The sequence below is a fragment of the Homo sapiens genome, chromosome 14, assembly GCF_000001405.40.
Source record: "Homo sapiens chromosome 14, GRCh38.p14 Primary Assembly".
Classification (NCBI taxonomy): Eukaryota; Metazoa; Chordata; class Mammalia; order Primates; family Hominidae; genus Homo; species Homo sapiens.
Genome location: NC_000014.9, coordinates 74,660,449 through 74,683,887, shown reverse-complemented (window position 1 = coordinate 74,683,887; position 23,439 = coordinate 74,660,449). Strand labels below are relative to the sequence as shown.

The following is a 23,439-nucleotide window of genomic DNA, read 5'->3' as shown; positions in this document are numbered from 1 at the left end:
CCTTTAAATTTGGGTTAGCATTGATAATATAAAGGGCTGGTAAGACCAAGGAGGCAGCATTGGTGGTTCAGAAGTGGCAAGTTAAAATGGACATTTTCTTGATTTAGTGGTAAATTCTACCCTTGTCCTCTGAACAAGTTAAGAATTTGCTCATGACTTAATGGTTTTCTTTAGAGTATTGAGGGGATTTGTTTCTCTCTGTGTTTTTGTGAGCAGGACTGTGAGGAACAGGGTAGGTACTGGGATTTACTGGTGTGGTCTCTGCCAGCTACTTCCTCTCTCCCCACTCACTCTACACAGGAAATGTTTTTTTCCTCTGCTTGCTAACAGGTGTCCTTCTTCTCCCCATGGCAGTTATTCTATAAGAACGGGCAGCCTTTCCCTGCACATCGGCCTGTGGGACTAAGAGTTCACATCTCTCATGTCGAGCTAGCAGTGGAAATTCCAGTGACCCAGGAAGTCCTTCAGGAGCCCAATTCCAACGTAGTAAAAGTGGCCTTCACTGTGCGCAAGGCTGGGCGTTATGAAATCACAGTGAAGCTTGGTGGATTAAATGTGGCATATAGTCCCTACTACAAAATTTTTCAACCTGGTAGGTTCTTTTTTCCTTTCTTTTTCCCTTTGTCTCCTTCCCTCTCTCTCTTTCCATCCTGTCTTTCCTTTTTAAAAATAATACCTTTATTGAGATTTAATTCCCATGCCATAAAATTCATCCTTTTAAAGTATACAGTTTAATGGTTCTTTAAATGCAGCCATCATCACAGTCGATTTTAGAGCATTTTCATCACCTCAAAAAGAAACCCCATACATGTTAGTAGTCACTTTTCCCCCAAATCCCCCAGACCTAGGCAGCCACTCATCTGCTGCCTCTGTGGATTTGCCTGCTGTGTTTGGCTGCTTTTGTCTTGCTGTAAAGAAATACCTGAGACTGGGTAATTTATAAAGAAAAGAGGTTTATTTGGCTCATGGTTCTGCAAGTTGTACAAAAAGCATAGCACCAGCATCTGCTTCTGGTGAGGCCTCGCGAAGCTTCCACTCATGGTGGAAGGCGAAGCGGGAGCAGGAGTGCCTAATGGTGAGAGAGGGAGCAAGAGAGAGAGAGAGGGAGGAGGTGCTGGGCTTTTCTAAACAAACAGATCTTGCATGAACTCAGAACAAGAGCTTATTCATTACCATGAGGAGGGGACCAAGCCATTCATGAGGGATCCTCCCCTATGACCCCATCACCTCCCACCAGGCCCCACCTCCAACACTGGGAATCACATTTCAACATGCGATTTGGAGGGTACAAATATCTAAACCAGATTCAGTCATGCTGTAGCGTGAATCTGTACTTCATTTCTTTTTATTGACAAATAATATTCTATTTTATGTACATGCCGTATTTTATTTATCCTTTCATCAGTTGGTGGTCGAATTGTTTCTACTTTTGGGTACTGTAAGCAACACTACTGTGAACATTTGTGTACAAGTTTTTGTGTTGACATGTTTTTATTACTCTGGGAGTAAAATTGCTGAGTCATTAGTTTGGTTAGTTCTTAAGGGCTAAGGGCTGTGGTATCCACAGAAATAATAGGACCTGGGGTCCCTGGGTAACTTTTGAAGTGAAACCGTACTGAGTGGGGCCTTAAGATTTGTGTATCTTTGCTTGACTAGTCCTTAATTTTCTTTCTCTGATAGCAGAGTAAGGCTCTGGACAAAGTGGCTCTCAAGCCGTCTCTCTTTCCATGTATCCTCTCCTTTGCTTAAGTGCCTCACTCAGATACTCCTTTTCATATGAATTATCATCACCCACCTCTTTGCCACCAGTGGAGAACAGCTCATACCCTTACATGTACCAGCCTTTTTAAAAAAATTAAACTTTTTATTTTTTGATAATTGTATATTCATATGCATTTGTAAGAAATAATGCAGAGATCTGGTGTACCCTTTTCCCAGTTTCCTGCAATGGTAACATTTTCCAAAACTACTAGTACAGTATAACAGCCAGGTTATTGACATTGATACAGTCAAGGTACAGAACATTTCCATCATCACAAGGATCCCTTATGTTGCCCTTTTACAGCCACACCTATCCCCCCCAACCTGTTTCTTTCTTTTTTTTTTTTTCTTTTTTTTTTTGATGGCGTCTCGCCCTGTCGCCAGGCTGGAGTGTAGTGGTGCCATCTTGGCTCACTGCAACCTCCAACTCCCTGGTTCAGTGGATTCTCCTGCCTCACGCTGAGTAGCTGGGATTACAGGCACGTGCCACCACGCCCAGCTAATTTTTGTATTTTTAGTAGAGACAAGATTTCACCATGTTGGCCAGGATGGTCTCGATCTCCTGACCTCATGATCCGCTCGCCTCAGCCTCCCAAAGTGCTGGGATTACAGGCATGAGCCACCGTACCTGCCCCCCATCCCCAACCTGTTCTTAACCCCTGGCAACCCACGAATCTATTCCCCATTTCTATAATTTTGTCATTTGAAGAATATTATATAACTAGAATCATATAGTATATAACCTGTTGGGGTTGACTTTTCCTCACTCAGCATAATTTTCTGGAGATTCATCCAGGTTACTGAGTGTATCAGTAGTTGGTTCCTTTTTACTGCTGAGTAGTACAGGTTGAGTATTCTTCATCCAAAATGCTTGGGACCAGATGTGTGGTTTTGTGGTTTTTTTCTCTCCAAACGTGGTATAGGAATGTTTTGTTGTTTTTGAGACAGGGCCTTGCTCTGTCACCTAGGCTGGAATGCAGTGGCAGGATCATGGCTCACTGTAGCCTTGACCTGTTGGGCCCAAGCAATCCTTCCACCTCAGCCTCCCAAGTAGCTGGGACTACAAGTGTGCACCACCACGCTCGGTTAATTTTTTGATTTTTTGTTTTGTAGAGACAGTCTCATTATGTTAACCAAGCTGGTTTCTAACTCCTGGCCTCAAGCAATCCTCCTGCCTTGGCCTCCCAAGGTGCTGGGATTACAGGCATGAGCCACTATGTCTGCCTAGAAGTGTCTTGGATTTTGGATTTTTGGGGGTTTTGGAATATTGGCAATATACTTACTTACCACTTCAGCACCCTAGGCCAAAAATCTGAAACCCTAAATGCTTCAGTGAGCATTTCCTTTGAGTATCATGTAGGTACCCAAAATGTTTTGGATTTTGGAGCATTTTGGATTTCTGGTTTTTGGATTAGGGATTCTCTACGTATATTCTGTGGTCTGAATGTACCAGTTTGTTTAACTATTCATCTGTTAAAGGTCATCTGGGTTGTTTCCATTTGGGGGCTATGATGAATAAAGCTGCTATAAATATTCACTTACAGGTTTTTATGTGAACATAAATTTTCATTTCTCTAGTATGCAGTTGCTGAGATGTATTGGAGTTGTATGCTTAGTTTCTTTTAAATTGCCAAATTCTTTTCCAGAGTGGCTGTAGCATTTTACATTCCCACCAGCAATGTATGAATAATCCAGTTTCTTCACATCCTTGCTAACATTTAATGCTGTCATTATTTTTTATTTTAGCCATTGTGATAAGTGTGTAGTGGTATCTCATTGTGCTTTTAATTTGCATTTCTTAAATAGTTAATGCTATTGAACATCTTTTCATGTGCCTGTCTGTCATCTATGTATCCTTTGGTGAAATGTCTCTTCGTGTCTTTTGTCCATTTTCTTTTCTTTTCTTTTCTCTTTTCTTTTCTTTTCTTTCTTTCTTTTTTTCTTTTTTTTTTAGACATCCTTGCTCTTGCCCAGGCTGGTGTACAGTGGTGCTACCTTGACTCACTGCAACCAACCTCCTCTTCCCAGGTTCTGGCAATTCTCCTGTGTCAGCCTCCTGAGTAGCTGGGATTACAGGCAGGCACCACCACGCCTGGCTAATTTTTGTATATTTTGTAGAGACAGAGTTTTGCCATGTTGGCCAGGCAGGTCTCGAAATCCTGAGCTCAAGTGATCCACCCCCTTGGCCCCAAAAAGTGCTGGGATTACAGGCGTGAGCCACCACACCTGGCCCTTTTGCCCATTATCTAATGGGATTATTATTATTTATTTATTTATTTATTATTATTTTCTTTTTTTTGAGATGGAGTCTCGTTCTGACGCCCAAGCTAGAGTGCAATGGCACAATCTCAGCTCACTGCGACCTCCGCCTCCCATGTTCAAGCAATTCTCCTGCCTCAGCCTCCCAAGTAGCTGGGATTACAGGCATCTGCTATCATGCCTGGCTAGTTTTTTGTGTTTTTAGTAGAGATGGGGTTTTGCCCTGTTAGACAGGCTGGTCTCAAACTCCTGACCTCGGGTGATCCATCCACCTTGGCCTCCCAAAGTGCTAGGATTACAGGCATGAACCACCGTGCCCGGCCCATTTTGGCTTTTTACTGTTGACTTTTGAGAGTTCTGTATATATTCTATATGCTAGTCCTTTGTTAAACATATGGTCTGCAAATATTTTCTCCCCATCTGTAGCTTTTCTTTATTTCTTTTTGGAGACAGGGTATCACTCTGTCACCCATGATGGCGTGCAGTAGCATAGTCATGGCTCACTGCAGCCTTGACCTCTCCCGGCTTAGGTGATCTCCCATCTCAGCCTCCCAAGTTGCTGGGACTGTGGCATGTGCCACCACACCTGGCTAATTTTTATATTTTTTGTAGAGATGGGGCTTTGCCATGTTGCTCAGGCTGAGCTTTTCTTCTTATTCCCTTAACAGAGTTATTCACAGAGCACATGTTTTCAATTTTGATGAAATCCACTTTCTGAGGTGGGAGAATCACTTGAGCCCAGGAGTTCAAGACCGGCCTGGGCAACATAGTGAGACCTCATCTCTACAAAAAATTTATAAATTAGCTGGGTGTGGTGGCGTGCACCTTTAGTCCCAGCTACTGGGGAGTAGGGTGGAGAAGTGAGGTGGTAGGATAACAAGCCCAGGAGGTTGAGGCTGCAGTGAGCTGTGATCTTGCCACTACACTCCAGCCTGGGTGACAAAGTGAGACCCTGTCTCAAAAAAGAAAGAAAGAAATCCAGTGCATCCATTTTTTTCTTTTATGGTCAAACTGTTGGTGTCTAAGAAATCTTTGGTCTCAGATCCTGAAGATGTTCTCTTTTTTTCCCAAAAGTTTTTACAGTTTGAAAATGTGTATTTAGGGTCATGATCCATTTTTAGTTAATTTTAATAGATTTGGGTCAAGGTCCTCTTTTTTTTTTTTTTTTTTTTGCTTATACATGTCTTTACTCCAGCATCATTTGTTGGAAAGGTGATCTTTCATTTTCTATTACATTGCTTTTGTACCTTTATCAAAAAGCAGTTGGACATATTTGTGGGGGCTTATTTCATTAATCTGTGTACCTATCCCTCCTCCAGTACCACAGAATCTTGATTTCTGTAGCTCCCTCTTCTTTTCTTTTTTTTTTTTGAGGCAGGGTCTCACTCTGTCACCCAGGCTGAGTGCAGTGGTGCGATCATGATTCACTGCAGCCTTGGCCTCCTGGGTTCAAGTGATCCTCCTGCCTCAACCTCCCGAGTAGCTGGGACTACAGGCGTGCACCACCGTGCTTAGCTAATTTTTTATCTTTTTTGTAGGAATAGGGTCTCACTATGTTGCCCAGGGTGGTCTCGAACTCCTGGACTCAAGTAATCTTCCTGCTTTGGCCTTCCAAAGTGTTGGGATTACAGGCGTGAGCCAAGTCACACAGCCTGATTACTGTAGCTCTTATAATAAGTCTTGAAATTGGTAAGCTGACTCCACTTTATTCTTCTTTTTCAAAATTGTTTTAGTATTCTAGTTCCTTTGCCTTTCCATTTAAATTTTAGAATAATCTTAACTAAATCTATAAATAATCTTGCTGGAACTTTGATAAGAATTGTGTTAAACCTATATATCAATTTGGGGAAAATTGACATCTGTACTATGTTGGATCTTCCATAAACATGTCTCCATTTGTTTAGTTGTTTGTTGGTTTTTTTGTTTTATTTCTTCCAAGTTTTTTTCATTTTACTTAGGGTTTGCAGTGGTTAAGAATTTGTAACAAAAATAATTCCCCAAATTCATTTAAATTTCTCTATTTCTGTTTTTTCCTCTTTTTTTTTTTTTTAATAAAGAGACAGGGTTAGCTGGGCACCGTGGCTTACGCCTGTAATTCCAGCACTTTGGGAGGCCGAGGCGGGCAAATTACAAGGTGGGGAGTTTGAGACCAGCCTGGCCAATATGGTGAAACGCTGTCTCTACTAAAAATACAAAAATTAGCTGGGTGTAGTGGCGGGTGCCTGTAGTCCCAGCTACTCAGCTGAGGCAGGAGAATCGCTTGAACCCGACAGGCAGAGGTTGCAGTGAGCCGAGATCGTGCCACTGCATTCCAGCTTGGGTGACAGAGCGTGACTCTGTCTCAAAAAAAAAAAAAAAAAAAAAAAAGGAGAGAGACAGGGTCTCCCTTTGTCACACAGGCTAGAATGCAATGGTGTGGTCATAGCTCACTGTAGCCTTTACCTCCTGGGCAAAAGTGATCCTCTTGCCTTAGCTTCCTGAGTAGCTGGGACACAGGCATGAACCACCATGCCTGGCTAATTTTTATTTTTTGTAGAGATGGTCTTGCTATGTTGCTCAAGCTGGTCTTGAACTTCTTAAGGGATCCTTAAGGGATTCTCTGGCCTTGGCCTCCCAAAGTGCTGGGATTACACGTGTGAGCCACCGCACCTGGCCTCTCTTCCTCTTGATAGTGTTATTTATCCCTAGGAATTGGGAGGAAACCTAGCTTTCTAGGACCCACTGAGCAGATCTTTGTGCCCTGAAGAGCACCTTTAAATGTTAGATTCCAGCCGGGCGTGGTGGCTCACGCCTGTAATCCCAGCACTTTGGGAGGCCAAGGCGGGCGGATCAGGAGGTCAGGAGATCGAGACTATCCTGGCTAACACAGTGAAACCCCGTCTCCACTAAAAATACAAAAAAAAATTCTCTGGGCATGGTGGCGGGCACCTATAGTCCCAGCTACTCGGGAGGCTGAGGCAGGAGAATGGCATGAGCCCGGAAGGCAGAGCTTGCAGTGAGCCGAGATTGCGCCACTGCACTCCAGCCTGGGCGAAAGAGCGAGACTCCATCTCAAAAAAAATAAAAATAAAAAAATAAAATAAATAAATGTTAGATTCCATTGTCTTTGTTCCAGGAATGGTGGTTCCTTCTAAGACCAAAATTGTGTGCCACTTTTCTACTCTTGTATTGACCTGTGGGCAGCCGCACACCCTTCAAATAGTACCCCGAGATGAGTATGATAATCCCACCAACAATTCCATGTCCTTGAGAGATGAGCACAATTACACCTTGTCCATTCATGAGGTAAGCAGTCTCCCTTCTTTATCTGTGTGCTAGAGAGAGCTGGCTCCTTTCTCTGTTATTCTCACACCTAATTCACTTCGATCTCTCTTTCCTTCTCCTTGACTTCTGTGCTGTCTGTATCTTCATCTGACAATACCTGTCTCATTAGTAATTTTGTGATTTAGATTAGATCATAGATAGGAAAGCTCTTTGTAAGGAGTAAAGTGGCTTGTAAATGGGAAAATACTATATGTTAAGTGATGCTCTGTTGCCTTCCTATAGCTCGGCCCTCAAGAAGAAGAGAGTACTGGTGTCTCATTTGAGAAATCAGTAACATCCAACAGGCAGACTTTCCAGGTGTTCTTGCGACTCACCCTGCATTCTCGAGGCTGCTTCCATGCTTGCATTTCATACCAAAATCAGCCAATCAATAATGGTGAATTTGACATTATTGTCCTAAGTGGTAAGTTAAAAGAAAAGTATGATTTAGTGCTGTTCTTCAGCCGTTTCTTTGCCTGTTTGCACTCTTTTGTCTGACCTCACAAACATTTGATATTTGGGCCACATTTGGCTTGTCCTGTGGACTAAAAGCCTGTGATAGGTAATTTTTTTCTTCTCTGACTTCTACTTTAAACCTTATTCCTTATTATACTTCAGAGGATGAGAAGAATATCGTCGAACGCAATGTGTCCACTTCAGGCGTGAGCATTTACTTTGAGGCTTATCTTTATAATGCTACCAACTGTAGCAGCACTCCATGGCACCTGCCACCCATGCACATGACCTCTTCCCAGCGCCGGCCATCCACTGCTGTTGACGAGGAAGATGAAGACTCGCCCTCTGAGTGCCACACCCCTGAGAAGGTGAAGAAACCGAAGAAGGTGTACTGCTATGTGTCACCAAAGGTTGGACCTTCCATTCTCGACATAAAATCCCCCTGCTTGAACCTGTGTGTAATTGGTATTTGGTAGCAGAAACCACAAAGTAACAGTCTGAGAATCAGGGCAAGATTGTTAACTAGTTGTATAGAAAGCCACTTTCAACTGTTAAAAATTTCTTGCTAGCATAAAAATTACTGTTGGCTTCTTGTGCTGTGTCAAAACAATTTGATCTTTTGTTCTGTGATTCATGAAACCACAGTAAATGGATGTCACTATTAGGCTACAGGATTGGAGTAAAGAAATTTTGGCAGAGGAAAGAAGGTGAATTTCCCAAGCCCCTGAGCTAAGAAGCACTTTGTGTTAGTTTCTTTTTAATATTTGTTTTTCCTTATTCATTCAGTCCTCATAAAAATGAGACTCTGTGAAACATCCCATTGCATCTCTTTAATCTCATAACCAAAACTGAGTTCTAATTCTGTTCTACTTCAGAACACTTTGCTGTGTACCATTCTTCATTTAAAAATCTAGCCTTAATTTGGACTAGGGGTGATGGTAATGAGGGAAATGGGTAAGTGAATAAATGAAACAAGATTGGCTATGAATTGATAATTGTTGAAGCAGCTGATAGTTTCATTATACTTCTTTGTCTTCTTTAGTATGTGTTTGAAATTTTCTTTAAACTTTTTTTTATCAAGAAAACAACTGACCTGCACATTCAGATAAAAGGGATTTTTTAAGATTAAAAAATTTTTGCATTGTCTTTTCCTCTTTTGTATGAACTTTTTTGTGTGAGGACCTTCCCCTATACCACCAACATATTCCACTCCAGCTCACCCCATCTTGCCTCCCTTCCCTGGCAGATCCTTGGCACCATTCAAATAGGTATAAAGCAGTGTGTATGGGTTGCTGGTGTTTGCTATCCAGTAACTTGGAGGAAGTCATTCTGAGCATCATGGGGCTGAGCAGAAGGAGATTTTGATTGTTTCTAGGTGAAATATTCTGTTCTCATAAAGTGAAAACCTGATCCCAGATATTTAGAAAGACTTGAGTATTACAATTATGAAATATCTCTGTGTGAAACTGCATTGTCAGTCATATTTTTTTTATTTATTTTATTTTTTGAGACAGGGTCTCACTTTGTCACCCATGCTGGAGTGCCATGGTCCAATCTCAGCTCACTGCACCCTCTGCCTCCCGGGTTCAAGCGATTCTTGTGCCTCAGCCTCCCGAGTACTTGGGATTACAGGCATGAGCTACCGCACCCAGCTAATTTTTTTGTATTTTTAGTAGAGACTGAGTTTTGCCATGTTGGCCAGGCTGGTCTTGAACTCCTGGCCTCAAGTGATCTGCCTGCCTCGGCCTCCCAAAGTGCTGAGATTATAGATGTGAGCCATCCACACTTGGCCATCAGGGTAATATTTTTAATTTGCCTTTTTAAATAGAGAGTTAATGTATTTATTTGACTTTAGTACTCACTAAATTATTACTTTTGTCCATGGAGAGGAAAGGTTATGAGAAATGTAAATAGGGACTATGATATTTGAATTAGAATACCCAAATAGAGCCTTTTTATTTATCATTCACTTCATTTCCTGTCTGTTGGTCCTCCAGCAATTCTCAGTGAAGGAGTTCTACCTGAAGATCATCCCCTGGCGCCTTTACACCTTCCGAGTGTGTCCAGGAACAAAAGTAAGCTGAACCTTACATCTGGTTCACATCAAGCATGCTTCATCTCTGGACTATCTCAGCCTTTTATTTTTTCTCAGAAGCACTTTTAGTGTTTCTGCAAGATCTCACAGTGTACACAGGATTCGTTGCCAAATAAAGCATCATTATCTCCTCACTAAATGGCATGAAGAATATATAAATTCTGGAAGGACGCATGCCTACAGAAACAGGAATTAGCAGCAACTCAGAATACTTCAACAGTGATCCTTTGCCTTCAAGACTAAGTTAATAGAGAAGATGTTTGTAACTCTGGCCCAAGCTTGGTCTCCCAGTGTGCTGAAGCTAACTCCTTTTAGAAGCACCACTCTCATATATTAAAATACATTGTTTGTTTGTTGTTAACTTTTCTGGGCTTCTGGAATCTAAACTTTTGCCCAAAGGCTAGAATGTGCCATTTTATAAAAATAGTTTTCTTCTGATCAGTTTGGAGTAGTCATTTATTGCTGTTTAATATATCCTTACTATTGCTATTTAATATATCACCGTATTGCCATTTATTGCTATTTAACATATCACCCTTCTTATATTTTATGTTAGAAGGTCTGTAGTTTTGCTGGTGGTCCTAACTAAAGGCAGTCTCTGTGACTAAAATAATTTTAAATGTTGAAATGTAAATCACTGAAGGGAAAAATAATGAAATGTATTTCTGGTAGGTCCTCATTTGGAGAAAACAAGCCTAACTTATTGTTGTTGGTTGGTACACAGGATAGAGCTGTGGAGGACTTTTACTGGCCTTGAGGGTTTTATAGATTAATTTCTTTGTTTTTCTTTACCAGTTTTCATACCTTGGTCCTGACCCTGTCCATAAGCTGCTCACACTGGTGGTGGATGATGGCATTCAACCTCCTGTGGAGCTCAGCTGTAAGGAGAGGAACATTCTAGCAGCCACTTTTATCCGCTCCCTGCATAAGAACATAGGTGAGGTTACACAGGGATTCTATAGGGAAGGTAGTGAGCCCAGCCACATCCATGAGGGTGGAGAGGCAGGACTACACAGATGGCTTGTAATGAGGCTGTAATGATGGATCTTGCTGTTCCCCAGGAGGCTCTGAGACCTTTCAGGACAAGGTGAACTTTTTCCAGCGAGAGCTTCGGCAGGTACATATGAAAAGACCACATTCCAAAGTCACCCTGAAGGTCAGCAGACATGCCTTGTTGGAATCGGTAGGTAAAATTTCATCTCTGTCAGCAGATACCAAAGTTTTCCAATTGAATGTCTATATTCTGCAGGTTACTGTTTTTGTTTTTGTTTTTGTTTGGGAGATAGGGTCTCACTCTATTGCCCAGGCTGGGGTGCAGAGGTGCGATCATGGCTCACTGCAGCCTCGATCTTCCCGGGCTGTGATCCTCCCAACTCAGCCTCCCAAATAGCTGGGACTATAGGTATGTGTCACCATGCCTGGCTAATTTTTGTATTTTTTGTAAAGATGGGATTTTGCCATATTGCTCCGGCTGGTCTCGAACTCCTGGACTCAAGTGATACACCCGCCTCAGCCTCCCAAAGTGTTGGGATTACAGGCATGAGCTACCATGCCTGATCTGGTTATCTTTTTCATGAAACTTAAATTTCTCTGTTTAAGTAAAGATATAGATATACTTATAAAAGACAGATATACTTATAAAAGACAGATATACTAAATTTCTGAAACCTAAATTTCTCTCTTTACATATGTCTGTTCTTCTATTTGATTCTACTAAATTTGGGGCAGTTTTGTTGGAGGTATGTTATCGAGGGAAGAGCAGTTTACTTACTGGCCTTCAAATCTACTGAATGGGTCCCTTGGAACTCCCATGTAGGGCAGGTGTAAATAGTGATTACAGAAGAAACTTCTTGTTATTGAATCCCTGGAATAGAGCGCTTGTTGAATTAAAAGGAAATGATTTTTGTTGTCACTTTGGTCTGATGGAAAAGGAACACCTGATGTGTGTCTGTCTCCACTGCACAGACACTGGCATAGTTCTTACATTCCCCAGGAATGAGAAGGCTTGGTTCCTGTCCAGAAAGTGTTTGTGATGTTTGGCTCTGGTAGGTGTGACTGGAAACCCGTTTTCTCAGCCATATTCTCCGTGTGGCATGGCTCGCTGTCTGAACCTAGCCTTGTGGATAAATATGTCTAGTGGATAGATCATACTTTGCTGAAAACCAGGATTCCTTGGTTCTTTTGCCTACAGCTTACTGACTTGAGTCATTTTTTACTTCTTTATGCAAGAATGTTTTCATTGCTAAAACAAGGATTGTTTAAAACAAAAGGAAAAGAAAAAAACAACTTCAGCTTTCCAACAAAGTGATGATGTAAAGGCAAATCAGATTATTTTTTAAAACTTTAAATTTGAAGTTATGTGCATTTTAAATGTCAGGTGGTATCATTAAAGCTTGTTTATGAGTAACATATCTCCTTCAGGCAGTCGTAGTTAGTCCAGCAGACAATGGCAGTGCTCTTGTGTTGTCTTTAACATCCAGAGGACACCAGCCAGTGTTCTGACAATTCCCTTCCTTTCACTTCTTTTCAGTCTCTGAAAGCCACTCGGAATTTCTCCATCTCAGATTGGAGCAAGAACTTTGAGGTTGTTTTCCAGGATGAAGAAGGTCAGTTTTGAAATTTTATATTCATCTTTTTGAACTCTCCTCCCCACTCGCACCTTCTCCACAAAAAAAAAAAAAAAAAAAAAAAAGCAACTCTTACCTCCTACTCACTCCCTAAAAAAAAAAACCTAGGTTTTTTTTTCCCCAAGGAAAAGGGAACCATGAGTCAAGAAAAAAAGGGTAGTATTTACTGGCCAGGATGGCATTGAGGAGCTTGTGGTACACAGACATACAGGGACTTGGAGAGAGAGTTCTAAGTGTTTGAACCGTGGTTACCTTGAGAGAAATGTCCATTTCCTGGGATCTCCGACCTCTGGTGTTTCCATACTAGGGGGCTTTTCCTTAGTGATCAGAATACCATTAATCCTACAAAAAGGGGTGGGATTTCTAAAGGACCACAGTTTAGATGAGTCGCAACGGAGAAACACCAGAGTAGTACAATAGAGGGAATGTGGAGAGTATAAAATGATGACTCAATAAACAAAAGTGGTAAGAGGAGGGAGGGCAGAGTCATTTTTTATTTTCATTATGCTTTTCAGCTCTGGACTGGGGAGGGCCTCGCCGGGAATGGTTTGAGCTAATCTGCAAAGCACTATTTGATACCACCAATCAGCTCTTCACCCGGTTCAGTGACAACAACCAAGCATTAGTGAGTTGGTGACGGGTGGGTGGAAAATGTGGATTATGTTATCATGGGTAGACTAACAAGGATTCAAAATTATGAAACTGATCTGGGAACCTGACAACCTGTGTCCTATTCTTAATTTTACTGCTTAAAATATAAGCTAATCAGATTGTCTTTCTCCTCTTTGCCTTTATTATTTCATCTGTAAAATAAGCAAAAATGCAGGCAGCTGAATATTTGACTAAAAACATTATAGTATAATGTCTACTCTACTAATTATTATAATAATTAAGCCTCTTTCTCAAAACATACCTGAAGCAAATGATTCCTGTACTAGATCTTTGTCTAGACAAAGGTGTCAGGAGTAGAGAAGTACACTTTGGCTGAAAGAAGTTCTGGTTTAGGGAAAAGGCATCACATCATCTGCTGATTAACCACAAACTTAATATAAGATTCTTAATTATGTCCACCTTTGCCCTTTATCTTCTAGTCACTTTGAATTACTCAGTGGTGGCTACCAAAAAACTAACATTTGGATGGGCTCTGATCCTCACAGTGACATCTTGTTCCTTTGGCATGGGGTTGGGGAAGGAAGGGTCCTTCCAGAACTGGGCTTGAAGAAAAATGGCCCAGGGCCTTTCAGTCTCTTTCTTGGACAGGTGCATCCCAACCCTAATCGCCCCGCTCATCTGCGCCTGAAAATGTATGAGTTTGCGGGACGGCTCGTGGGCAAGTGTCTCTATGAGTCCTCTCTAGGAGGAGCCTACAAGCAGTTGGTCCGAGCTCGCTTCACCCGCTCTTTCCTGGCCCAAATCATAGGACTGCGTATGCATTACAAGGTAACATCTTGGGTGTGCATTTCCTACTAAGGCCCCTGGCCATTAACCCTGAAATCTCTCCTCCTGGGCTTGTAAATAATTTTTAAGGTTGAAGGGATAAGTGGTTCTAAGCAGTTACACCTTTCAGGGCAAGAGTATTCATGTTCTGTTCTGTGTCTTTCTGCCTCCTCAGTACTTTGAAACAGATGACCCAGAATTCTACAAATCTAAAGTTTGTTTTATCCTCAACAATGACATGAGTGAGATGGAGCTGGTCTTTGCAGAAGAGAAATATAATAAATCAGGTCAATTGGATAAGGTGAGAAAGAGGACAAAGCCTCTGGGTCCTATGTTCTCCAGTTTCCTGTAGAGCAGGACTGTCTAAGAGAACTTTCTGCAGTGGTGGAAATGTTCCATATTTGTGTTGTCTATTAAACACCCAAAATGTGGGTGACATAATAAGTGAACTTCTCATTTTAGTTAATGTATACTTACATAACTACACTTGGCTAGCAGCTGCTGTATTGGACAGCACAGCTTTAGGACATTGCATCCTATGCTTTATGATCTCAGCCCATTTGAGTGAAGCAAAAGACACATATCTCCATCTATCCCACCGAGTCCTGCTTCCAGTTGAAAAATAACTGAATGATGGTGAAGTGTCACTGTACAAGCAGATTTGGAAGAGATGGCAGTGTCTGTGTCAACATTTGCAGTAGTGATGTAGGTGATTCCTATTTTAACACAATGCCTGGGTATTTTTAAACTTTTTGGCTGGGCGCAGTGGCTCATGGCCTGTAATTGCAACACTTTGGGAGGCTGAGGCAGGAGGATGGCTTGAGACCAGGAGTTCAAGACCAGCCTGGGCAACTTTGGCAAGACCCTGTCTTTTAGATTTTAAAAATCTAGCTGGGTATGGTGGCGTGTGCCTGTGGTCCTAGCTACTGGGGTAGTGTGGGAGGAAGTGGGCGCTGAAGCTGGAACATCGCTTGAGCCCAGGAGGTTAAGGCTGCAGTAAGCTGTGATTGCACCACTGCACTCCAGCCTGGGTGACACAGCAAAACCCTATCTCAAAATAATAAAACCAAAACTTTTTATTAGAAAATGATGGCCCAGAGATATTTCCGATGCATGTGCTTCTATTTACATTGTGGTGTTAAACAGCATCAAATGATAATGATGACGCTAAAGTTGCAGTAAATTTAAAGTTAAAAGCAGAATAGGAATGATTGAAAAATTGTGACCATTGGTACCACTATACTGATAATCAGATATCCTTTCTGGAAATTATGGGATTCCCAGCTGTCTGCCTTTGTACACATGGGATTAGACCCAACTTCCTGAGCTGGCATGGTAAGGCAGCTAGAGTCAATAGGACACTGAATTAGGGTCCTCAGACCCAGGGTAGTGCTCATTTTAATTGTGTTTAATATGAATACTAAATCTTAATAATTTATTTCTCAGTCTCCTAGATAGAAATGCTTACATTAAAAAAAAAATCCAGGATTGTGCATACCAACAGAAAAAATGTTTTACATTTTTAGATCCATTGAGAATCCCTGCTGTGGAGTAGCATGCTATTGCTACCATGCTGTTGTCTTAAAATCTGATCTTGTAACTTCATTCACCTGTGGAGACAACCTTGGTCACTCTACACAAATATTCCTGGATGATGGTTTTAAGCTGTGCTTCAGGGCTCCTTCAAAGTTCCCTTAGGAGTTTATTGGGGGATACCAATTCTGTTTGAGAGTCATACAGTTTGTTCACCTTTTTCTTTGCAGAGAGGAAAGTTCAGGCCAAATAATTTCCCCTAAGGTCTGGAGGGGCAATTAACCAAAGGTCTGTAGCAAGCTAGCATCAGGGCTGAGATTAGAATCCAGGATCTTCAAGTATCAAACTGTGGCTTGTTCTGTTGACTCACATTAGAGATAAAAGAATGTGTGGGAACAATTGTTCCCATCTTGGAATTTCTGAGACATAAAAAGACTTCCTTACTGCTTATCTGATTTTACTCTTAGTTGCTTAGAGAAGAGGTCAATAGTGGTTTCATTTTGGATCATAGATTAAAACATTGCTAGCGAGGAGCCATAGTATCTTCCTATTGCATCACTACTACTTGACTGAGTCAGAGAAGACCTTACCCAGGCACCCATTTCAGAAATAATAGCTAGTATACAGCAATAGTGGTAGGAACCCTGAAGCTTAGGAACTAAATTAAACCAAGTGTGTTGAAAAGCTGAATGCACAGCAGAAACTTGTGACTGACAGTGATGGAGGTCAGTAATCTGTGTCTATAAAACATCCAGGCAGATGTCATCTCATAAATTTCCATCCACAGCCTCTCCCTTGTCTGTCTTTTGCTGCCTGTTACAGGTTGTAGAACTCATGACAGGTGGAGCTCAAACTCCAGTCACCAATGCGAATAAAATCTTCTATTTAAATTTGCTGGCCCAATATCGGCTGGCCAGTCAAGTGAAAGAGGAGGTGGAACATTTCCTAAAAGGTGGGATCCTGTCTGTTCTTGGCCTTGAAGTTAAAATACCTGTATCCATGGTGTGGGTATGACTTTAACTTGCCTACTTTGTTTCAGGCCTGAATGAATTGGTCCCTGAGAACCTTTTGGCTATTTTTGATGAGAATGAGCTTGAGGTAAGTGATTGCAATTCAGACTCCCATTCTTAACTTGGCATTTTTGTAGCTTACAGGAACCAGCTTGGTGTACCTTCTCTTATGAGATGCAGCTGGAAAGCCATTTATGCAAGAGGTGGTTTCACTTTTGTCGCTCCTCCATTCATTGACCCTTCAGCCTTTAAAAAATTAGAATGTGAAAATTAGTAGCAAAGAGTGCAGAGATATTAGCTTAAGGGATAAATAAATGAAAGTAGCAAGTAGCTCATTATTTATGAAGAGTAATAATTAATACTCATTTATTCATCAAGTATCACTGAGGCCGGGCATGGTGGCTCACTTCTGTAATCCCAGCACTTTGGGAAGTTGAGGTGGGTGGATCACCTGAGGTCAGGAGTTCGAGACCAGCCTGGCCAACATGGTGAAACCCCGTCTCTACTGAAAATACAAAAATTAGCTGGGTGTGGTGATGCACGCTTGTAATCCCAGCTACTTGGGAAGCTGAGGCATGAGAATTACTTGAACCCCGGAGGCGGAAGTTGCAGTGATCCGAGATCGCACCACTGCATTCCAGCCTGGGCAACAGAGTAAGACTCTGTCTCAAAAAAAAAAAAAAAAAAATCAATGAGTAGTAAAGAATGTTAATATCATGTACCGTCTATAAAATCCTATGACATTTAAGGGAGTAATAGAATTTATTTTTTCAGGTATATATTGAGTGCCTCCTGAGGCACTGCAGAGAGAGTAACGAATAAGACAAAGTTCCAGCCCTCATGGGCTACATTCTAATGAAGTGAAGGAAACAAACCAAAAGATGAGATCATATTTCAAAAGCATTAGACCAAAACAGTATATAGTATATATTTTTATTTATATAGTAAATTCATTCTTATTTCAGATCCTGTAACAACTAAAAAATGGCTCTAAGATGGTAAATACCATTCTATGCAGAACTGAAGTCCGTATCAGGTGTGGGCAAAGAATAACATCAATTTGTTGTGGCCTGTTGCTCACAGATGAGACATCAGTACAAAATGGTGCAGTGCAAGTTACTAGTTATAAATTCCCGTAGTTTCTATGAGGAGTGTCTTTCTGCAAACGTTTCTTTAGGGAGGAAGGTTTTCTTTTAAAATGGGGGAAAAAGTAATTTTAGGTGGTCTTGCCCAATTCTTATTTCTATTAACTGAAGTAGATTTGAGAACAAGAATCAAAATCTTCTGTAATTTTCATGTTTTATATCTTCAGATGTGAAATCCAAACAAAATGAACTCTCCACAGCTCAGCCTAAAGTTTCTGATAAACCTGTTACCTAGCACTGTTATTTTTTGGGCTGAGGAATAACTACTGGTAAATTTTGTTACATTTTGAAGCAAAGCATTTGTAACAATTTGTAGAAGTAAGTAGAAAGGAAGGACATGGTCTCTTACAGTTGTTCCACATCCTGCTCTTAGTTCCTGGTCAGCTTAGCAAGTTCTTTTTGAAGGAGCCAAGGCTTCTCAGGCTCAGTTTGGGCTCTTCTTGTCTCTGGTTAGAATGTATTATTCTTTATAGCTATTGGATGAGTACTTGCAGTCTGCTAAGTAACATGCTGGATCCTGAACCAAATTAGGACATTAACAAGATGTTTAAGGCTCTGATGTCATTAATGTTCTCATTTTTTGGCATACTTTTAAATGTATCTGATCAAGTAGAGGCAGAAGCTGAAGGGAAGGTAGTAAAAGTTCAATCCACAAAAGAATGCATCCTAAGAAAAAGGAAAGGTCATTGACAAATTCATAAATGGGCCTGGGGATTTTGGGGAAACAGCTTGCCTTTTCTCCTTGATATTCCCAGGCTAAGTTTAGAGCAGACTGTCAGGAAACAGTTTGTGTGTGTGTGTTTTGTCCTTTGTTTCATTTAAAAATAATCCATAGTAGCAGTTCTTAGGGTGTTCATCAGAAATACCTCGCCTGTAATCCCAGCTACTCAGGAGGCCGAGGCAGGAGAATCACTTGAGCATGCAAGGTGGAGAGGTGGAGGTTGCAGTGAGCCGAGACAGTGAGACTCCGTCTCAAAAAAAAAAAAAAAAAGAAAAGAAAGAAATACCTGAGCAATTTTTTTTCTTCCTGTATAAGCTCATAACCTGTTCCGAGAGATTCAGATTTAGAGGTCCCAGGTAGGGCCACCAACACTTGTATAAATATATATTTTAAAAGCCATGTGAATCTTTTTTTTACCCACTGGTTAGCAACTATTGCCCTGTTGTATGTAATTGATTTTCCTAAAGCAGTATTCTGGCATTATGACCTCACCTTCTGTCTTTTTCCTGGTAATGTTTTCTTCTACATTTTGCCTGTTAACTTAGGTAATTTTGACCTTATATTGGGTCTTTGTCTCTCTGACTGTCATAGTAACACCTTACCATCTTTTTCCAGCTGCTGATGTGTGGGACTGGAGACATCAGTGTGTCTGACTTCAAAGCCCATGCAGTAGTTGTTGGTGGCTCATGGCATTTCAGAGAAAAGGTAAATGGACCAAACTTCTTTCAGTTGGATTTGTGCCATGTTATAAGGAAAAAGTTTCAGAAGAAAAAAGTAGAGGAGGCCGGGCGCAGTGGCTCATGCCTGTAATCCCAGCACTTTGGGAGGCTGAGGCAGGCGGATCACAAAGTCAGGAGTTTTGAGACCAGCCTGGCCACATGGTGAAAGCCCGACTCTACTAACAATACAAAAAAAAAAAAAAAAAAATTAGCTGGGTGTGGTGGCACATGCCTGTAGTCCCAGCTACTCGAGAGGCTGAGGCAGGAGAATCGCTTGAACCCAGGAGGTGGAGTGAGCTGAGATCACGCCACTGCACTGCAGCCTGGGTGACAGAGCGAGACTCTTTCTCAAAAAAAAAAAAAAAAAAAAAAAGAAAGGAAAAGAAGAAAAAAGTAGGGGAGTCAAAGCAGTTGATATGTTTTCTGGGAAAAAAAAATGATGCATGGGGAAAGATAGGTGGTTGTCCAGGCAGAAGGGAGCCCTGATCCCTAAGGGCTGTCATGCTGACTGCCACAGGAGTAGTAAATTGGAGATGGCGAAGAAAGAGAACCAACAGTCAGTGACTACCCTCCTAATCATGTGACAGTGTAAATTCTTGAAGTGCTTGTCAAACTGTTCCTACCCTGTGTCCTCATAGAACGGTAACTGGGGCACAGCCCCACTTTAGTGTATCTTGTTCCTTCCCCAGGGATCTAATCCTAGCTTGTTTACTGTGTGTGATCCCAGCCTTGTGCTCTCCCTGCCAGGTCATGAGGTGGTTTTGGACTGTGGTTTCCAGTCTGACCCAGGAGGAGTTGGCTCGGCTACTTCAGTTCACAACAGGCTCCTCTCAGCTACCACCTGGAGGCTTTGCCGCCCTCTGTCCCTCATTTCAGATTATTGCCGCTCCGACCCATAGCACGCTGCCTACTGCACACACATGGTAGGTATCTGCCCGCCTGATGCATGCCCAGTGTTTTTGGTGGTATGAGTTAATCACTTCTCCCTTGCCCTTCCAGTTTTAACCAGCTGTGCCTCCCTACATATGACTCCTATGAAGAGGTGCACAGGATGCTGCAGCTGGCCATCAGCGAGGGTTGCGAGGGCTTTGGCATGCTCTGACCACTCTCCTGTCATCCAGTTGGCTCCCATGCTCTCTGGAGCTTCTGGGCGCAAGTTACAGACATCATAACCACTGATCCTAACACACATAACCATCAGCCAGAAGATGCCGCATGCTCCCCTGTGTCTGGAGGATTTTGTCACCTACAAGCCTTGTCTTTACCTCACCTGCTCCCTGCCCATATCTACCACAGGCCACTTTGGCATGGTATGTAAGCTGAGCTCTTCATTCTGTCATGAGAAGAGGACCATGCTGCTATCATTTATTTGGTCCTTTGAAGATCTCAGTAGCTGAGGGAGATGGCACACGGGGCTCAGCCCTGTTGGGAAACTGGTGTGGAGACCCTTAAATCCACACTGTGCTCCAAAACTCCCTCTGCTGATACTCCTTGGAGACACCCTCTTTGGCCCTCACTACTTGACCAGACTGGTACTTGAGTCCTTCTCATGGGTGGGGTGATTGCCTCTTCTCATCAGGAGCCAGGAGAGAGGGGGACAGATAGGAGGTGGCCCATAGGAGCAGTCCCGCTGCACAATGGTAGGCATAGGCCATGGCACTGGACTGCCTCTAAGGACTGCTAAAAAGAATATTTTTTTGTGGTGTCAGAACTGGAAAAAGCACTTTCCCTTCGGGCATTTCTGGAAATGATTATTAATCCACAAAGAAGAACTCTGTAAGCTTTTTCTTGAATTGTAGCCAGTGAGAAAAGCAGATAGACTGAAGAATATGAAGGATAGCTGAGCTGTAGCCTCCAGAGTGGGGCATGCCTAGGCATATGGCTGGCTTGGAGACTACTGATGCTTTTCCCTGAGTTTGTTATTGGCACTGAAGTATGGCCGGCTTGGGCCACTGACTTCCCCATTATGTAGTCTGCTAAAAGCTGGGGATCCTTTAGCATTCTACTGAAGAAAATTTTGTAGCAAAAGATTAGAACAGTAAGAATAGTATGCCAGCAATCCCTGATTCTCTCTCTGCTTGGTGTTCTCTGGCAGCACTAAGACAAAGGAACAGGGACTAGGAGTTTACGTGCTTATCACAGGTCCTTGGCGTCAGGACACTAGGGATGAACATGGAGGTGATATGTTACACAGTAAACACCTGCCAACCCCTGTACTCCCCTTTGCTCCATCAGTTATCAGGAAGGAGAACTAAGGAGGGAGGAAGCTTATTAGGTTCACTGTTGAATGATGATTGAAGAGTACCTGCTGCTGTATCTTGGAAGATGACAACATCCTTTTTCATTACTGTTTGATTGAAAATAATTTCAAGATTCAAAATCTCATTGACTTCCCAAATTTGTGTTTTTAAGAAGGCTTTGCTGCAAGCTACCATTCCCAATGGGGCAGTCAACTCTGAGAATATTACAAGCCATCTTTATTGCCAAAACCAGCAAGTACACAGAGTCCTGAAACAAGGCAGGACTTTGGCAATGCCTTGGCCTCCTGGAAGCATGTCTGAGCCCTCCTGTTCGCAGGGATCATGAGGAACAAGCCCTCCTGAGCTGCTACAGTTCCTGCCTGACCTCAGTCTTTCGCAGTCATCATTTGTCCTTTCTTGGCACATGGGTGCTGACCTCACTCATCCTTGGGGTCCGGGATCCAGCATCAGGGTCTCTATACCCCAGGATCCTCCATGCCACATGGTCACTGCTCTCCTCAGGGACCAGGACAAGGTGCTGCTGCTTGCCCAAATGTTTTCCCATGGGATATGTACCGGAAGGTTTATCACCACCCTGGGAAACATAATGCTGCCCCTTGGGCCCAGAAAGGGGTTTCCAGCTGGGGGCACGTGGACTGGTTCTGCTGTTTTTGGCAGTCGCTTTTCTGAATTCTCCCCTCCGGCAGCCTTCCAGAGACTGATCCTGGAGATTGAGTTGATTGTCTTGGCTAGACCTGTCATTTTAAGCTCTAGTCATAGCACTTTTTCAGAGCATCTTAGGCACCATTGCAACCCAACCAGGGAAGCTGCATCCCTGTGGTGGTCCTTAGGCACCAGTCTTTGTTAAACAAAACCCTTTGGCACTATTGTGGTTTTCTATTCTCTGTCTGAACTCTATTCAAAAGTATCTTTGCTCTCTTGGGCCTTTTCTTTTACTGTTTTGTTTTTTTTTTTTCTAATCCTGCTTTCATACTAGCCAGTGTGGGGAAAAGGTACAATATGTCAAAGAGATGAGAGAGTGTTATTTCTTGGGCAATTTTCTATTAGTGTTTCTTATTTTGGCCAGTTCTTTTATTTATGTCCTTGTGACCCAGGTACTTGGGGGGCCAGCTACCCTTCTGGCCTTTTAGCGTCTTTGAAGGAGACCAGACATGAGTGAATACCTAGGAGAGTGTCAGCATGTTTCTGGAAAATTGGCAGAGACCAAGCCCTGCTGCAGATTCGTCAGGCCAGGTGAAAGGGCCAGGCAGTTGCAGCTGATGATGTAAATATTTTGTACAGTAGATAAATAAATGTTTAAAAGAACTAAGGAGTGAGTGGCTGCTTTAAATGGAGATTCATGGCTTGACTGGAAGGTGGGGAAGGAAAAGATTTGGAAATGATTTTGCATTTCCCCAGGAATTCCTCCTGAAGTGGTCGGCTCGGGGTAGAGTGTACACCTGGAGTCCTGGCCTGTCCCACTCTTGCCCTTTCACCCTTCCCTGATTGCTGTCCATGGTGCCAGGCAGGGCCACTGTCTCAGCCATGGGGAGACGAGGACAAGTGTTTATGCTCAGTTTCTGAAGAAGGAACCGGTTAATCAGTCTTTAAACAATAATTCATTGTTGTTTTACTACCTAGAAATTCAATATAGAAAATTTGGAAATAAGAAAAAGAACAAGGGAAATAGGTAAGTTGCTATCCAGAGGTAATCACCGTTAACACTTTGATAAATAGCCTTTTGATTTTCATATTTAAGCACACATTTGTCTCCCAACATCTCCCTCACCCACAAGGGGTTTGGGAGTGGCAAACAAAAATACTGCTCCTAAGAAGTTTGTTGGCGGCAAGTCTTACCGATTCTTTTCAGCTTACAAAGGTAAGCTTGGAAGAGAAGAAAAAAAACAGACCTCTGATTTGGGCCTAGAAGGAGTAGTATTAAGGACCCTGACTTTCTTGGGAAAGTAATTATGATGTCTTGTATATTGGTTCCCAATCTGGAAAATGTTAAAAAAATTCCCTTTTGAATTTAAAAACAAAACAAAACAGATCCTTGCCCCCACCCCAAACAGTGCATTCTCCTCTTACCTCATCAAGCTCCTGAGTGATATGAGATATCTTAAAGGGCCAGGC

At 42.3% G+C, this 23,439-nt stretch overlaps 1 protein-coding gene across 9 annotated transcripts in view; it reads left to right on the top strand.

The window, feature by feature from the left end:
- AREL1 (apoptosis resistant E3 ubiquitin protein ligase 1) overlaps window positions 1-22,632 on the top strand; it is a 51,825-nt gene extending 29,193 nt beyond the window's left edge. For 5 of the 9 annotated variants that reach the window (XM_005268244.4, NM_001437432.1, NM_001039479.2 and 2 more), the window contains 16 exons: window positions 355-592; window positions 7,136-7,305; window positions 7,567-7,747; window positions 7,942-8,189; window positions 9,777-9,854; window positions 10,670-10,811; window positions 10,936-11,057; window positions 12,405-12,480; window positions 13,017-13,126; window positions 13,762-13,941; window positions 14,114-14,239; window positions 16,294-16,423; window positions 16,511-16,569; window positions 18,963-19,052; window positions 19,814-19,989; window positions 20,066-22,632. In XM_005268244.4, the coding sequence (XP_005268301.1) occupies window positions 7,138-7,305; window positions 7,567-7,747; window positions 7,942-8,189; window positions 9,777-9,854; window positions 10,670-10,811; window positions 10,936-11,057; window positions 12,405-12,480; window positions 13,017-13,126; window positions 13,762-13,941; window positions 14,114-14,239; window positions 16,294-16,423; window positions 16,511-16,569; window positions 18,963-19,052; window positions 19,814-19,989; window positions 20,066-20,168 (1,989 nt within the window). In that variant the 5' untranslated portion in view covers window positions 355-592; window positions 7,136-7,137 and the 3' untranslated portion in view covers window positions 20,169-22,632. Of the gene's footprint in view, window positions 1-354; window positions 593-7,135; window positions 7,306-7,566; window positions 7,748-7,941; window positions 8,190-9,776; window positions 9,855-10,669; window positions 10,812-10,935; window positions 11,058-12,404; window positions 12,481-13,016; window positions 13,127-13,745; window positions 13,942-14,113; window positions 14,240-16,293; window positions 16,424-16,510; window positions 16,570-18,962; window positions 19,053-19,813; window positions 19,990-20,065 lie in introns of those variants that run through there. The other 4 variants (XM_047432019.1, NM_001437431.1, XM_047432018.1 and 1 more) reach the window with 2 other exon arrangements.
- Window positions 22,633-23,439: the final 807 nt, after the last annotated feature.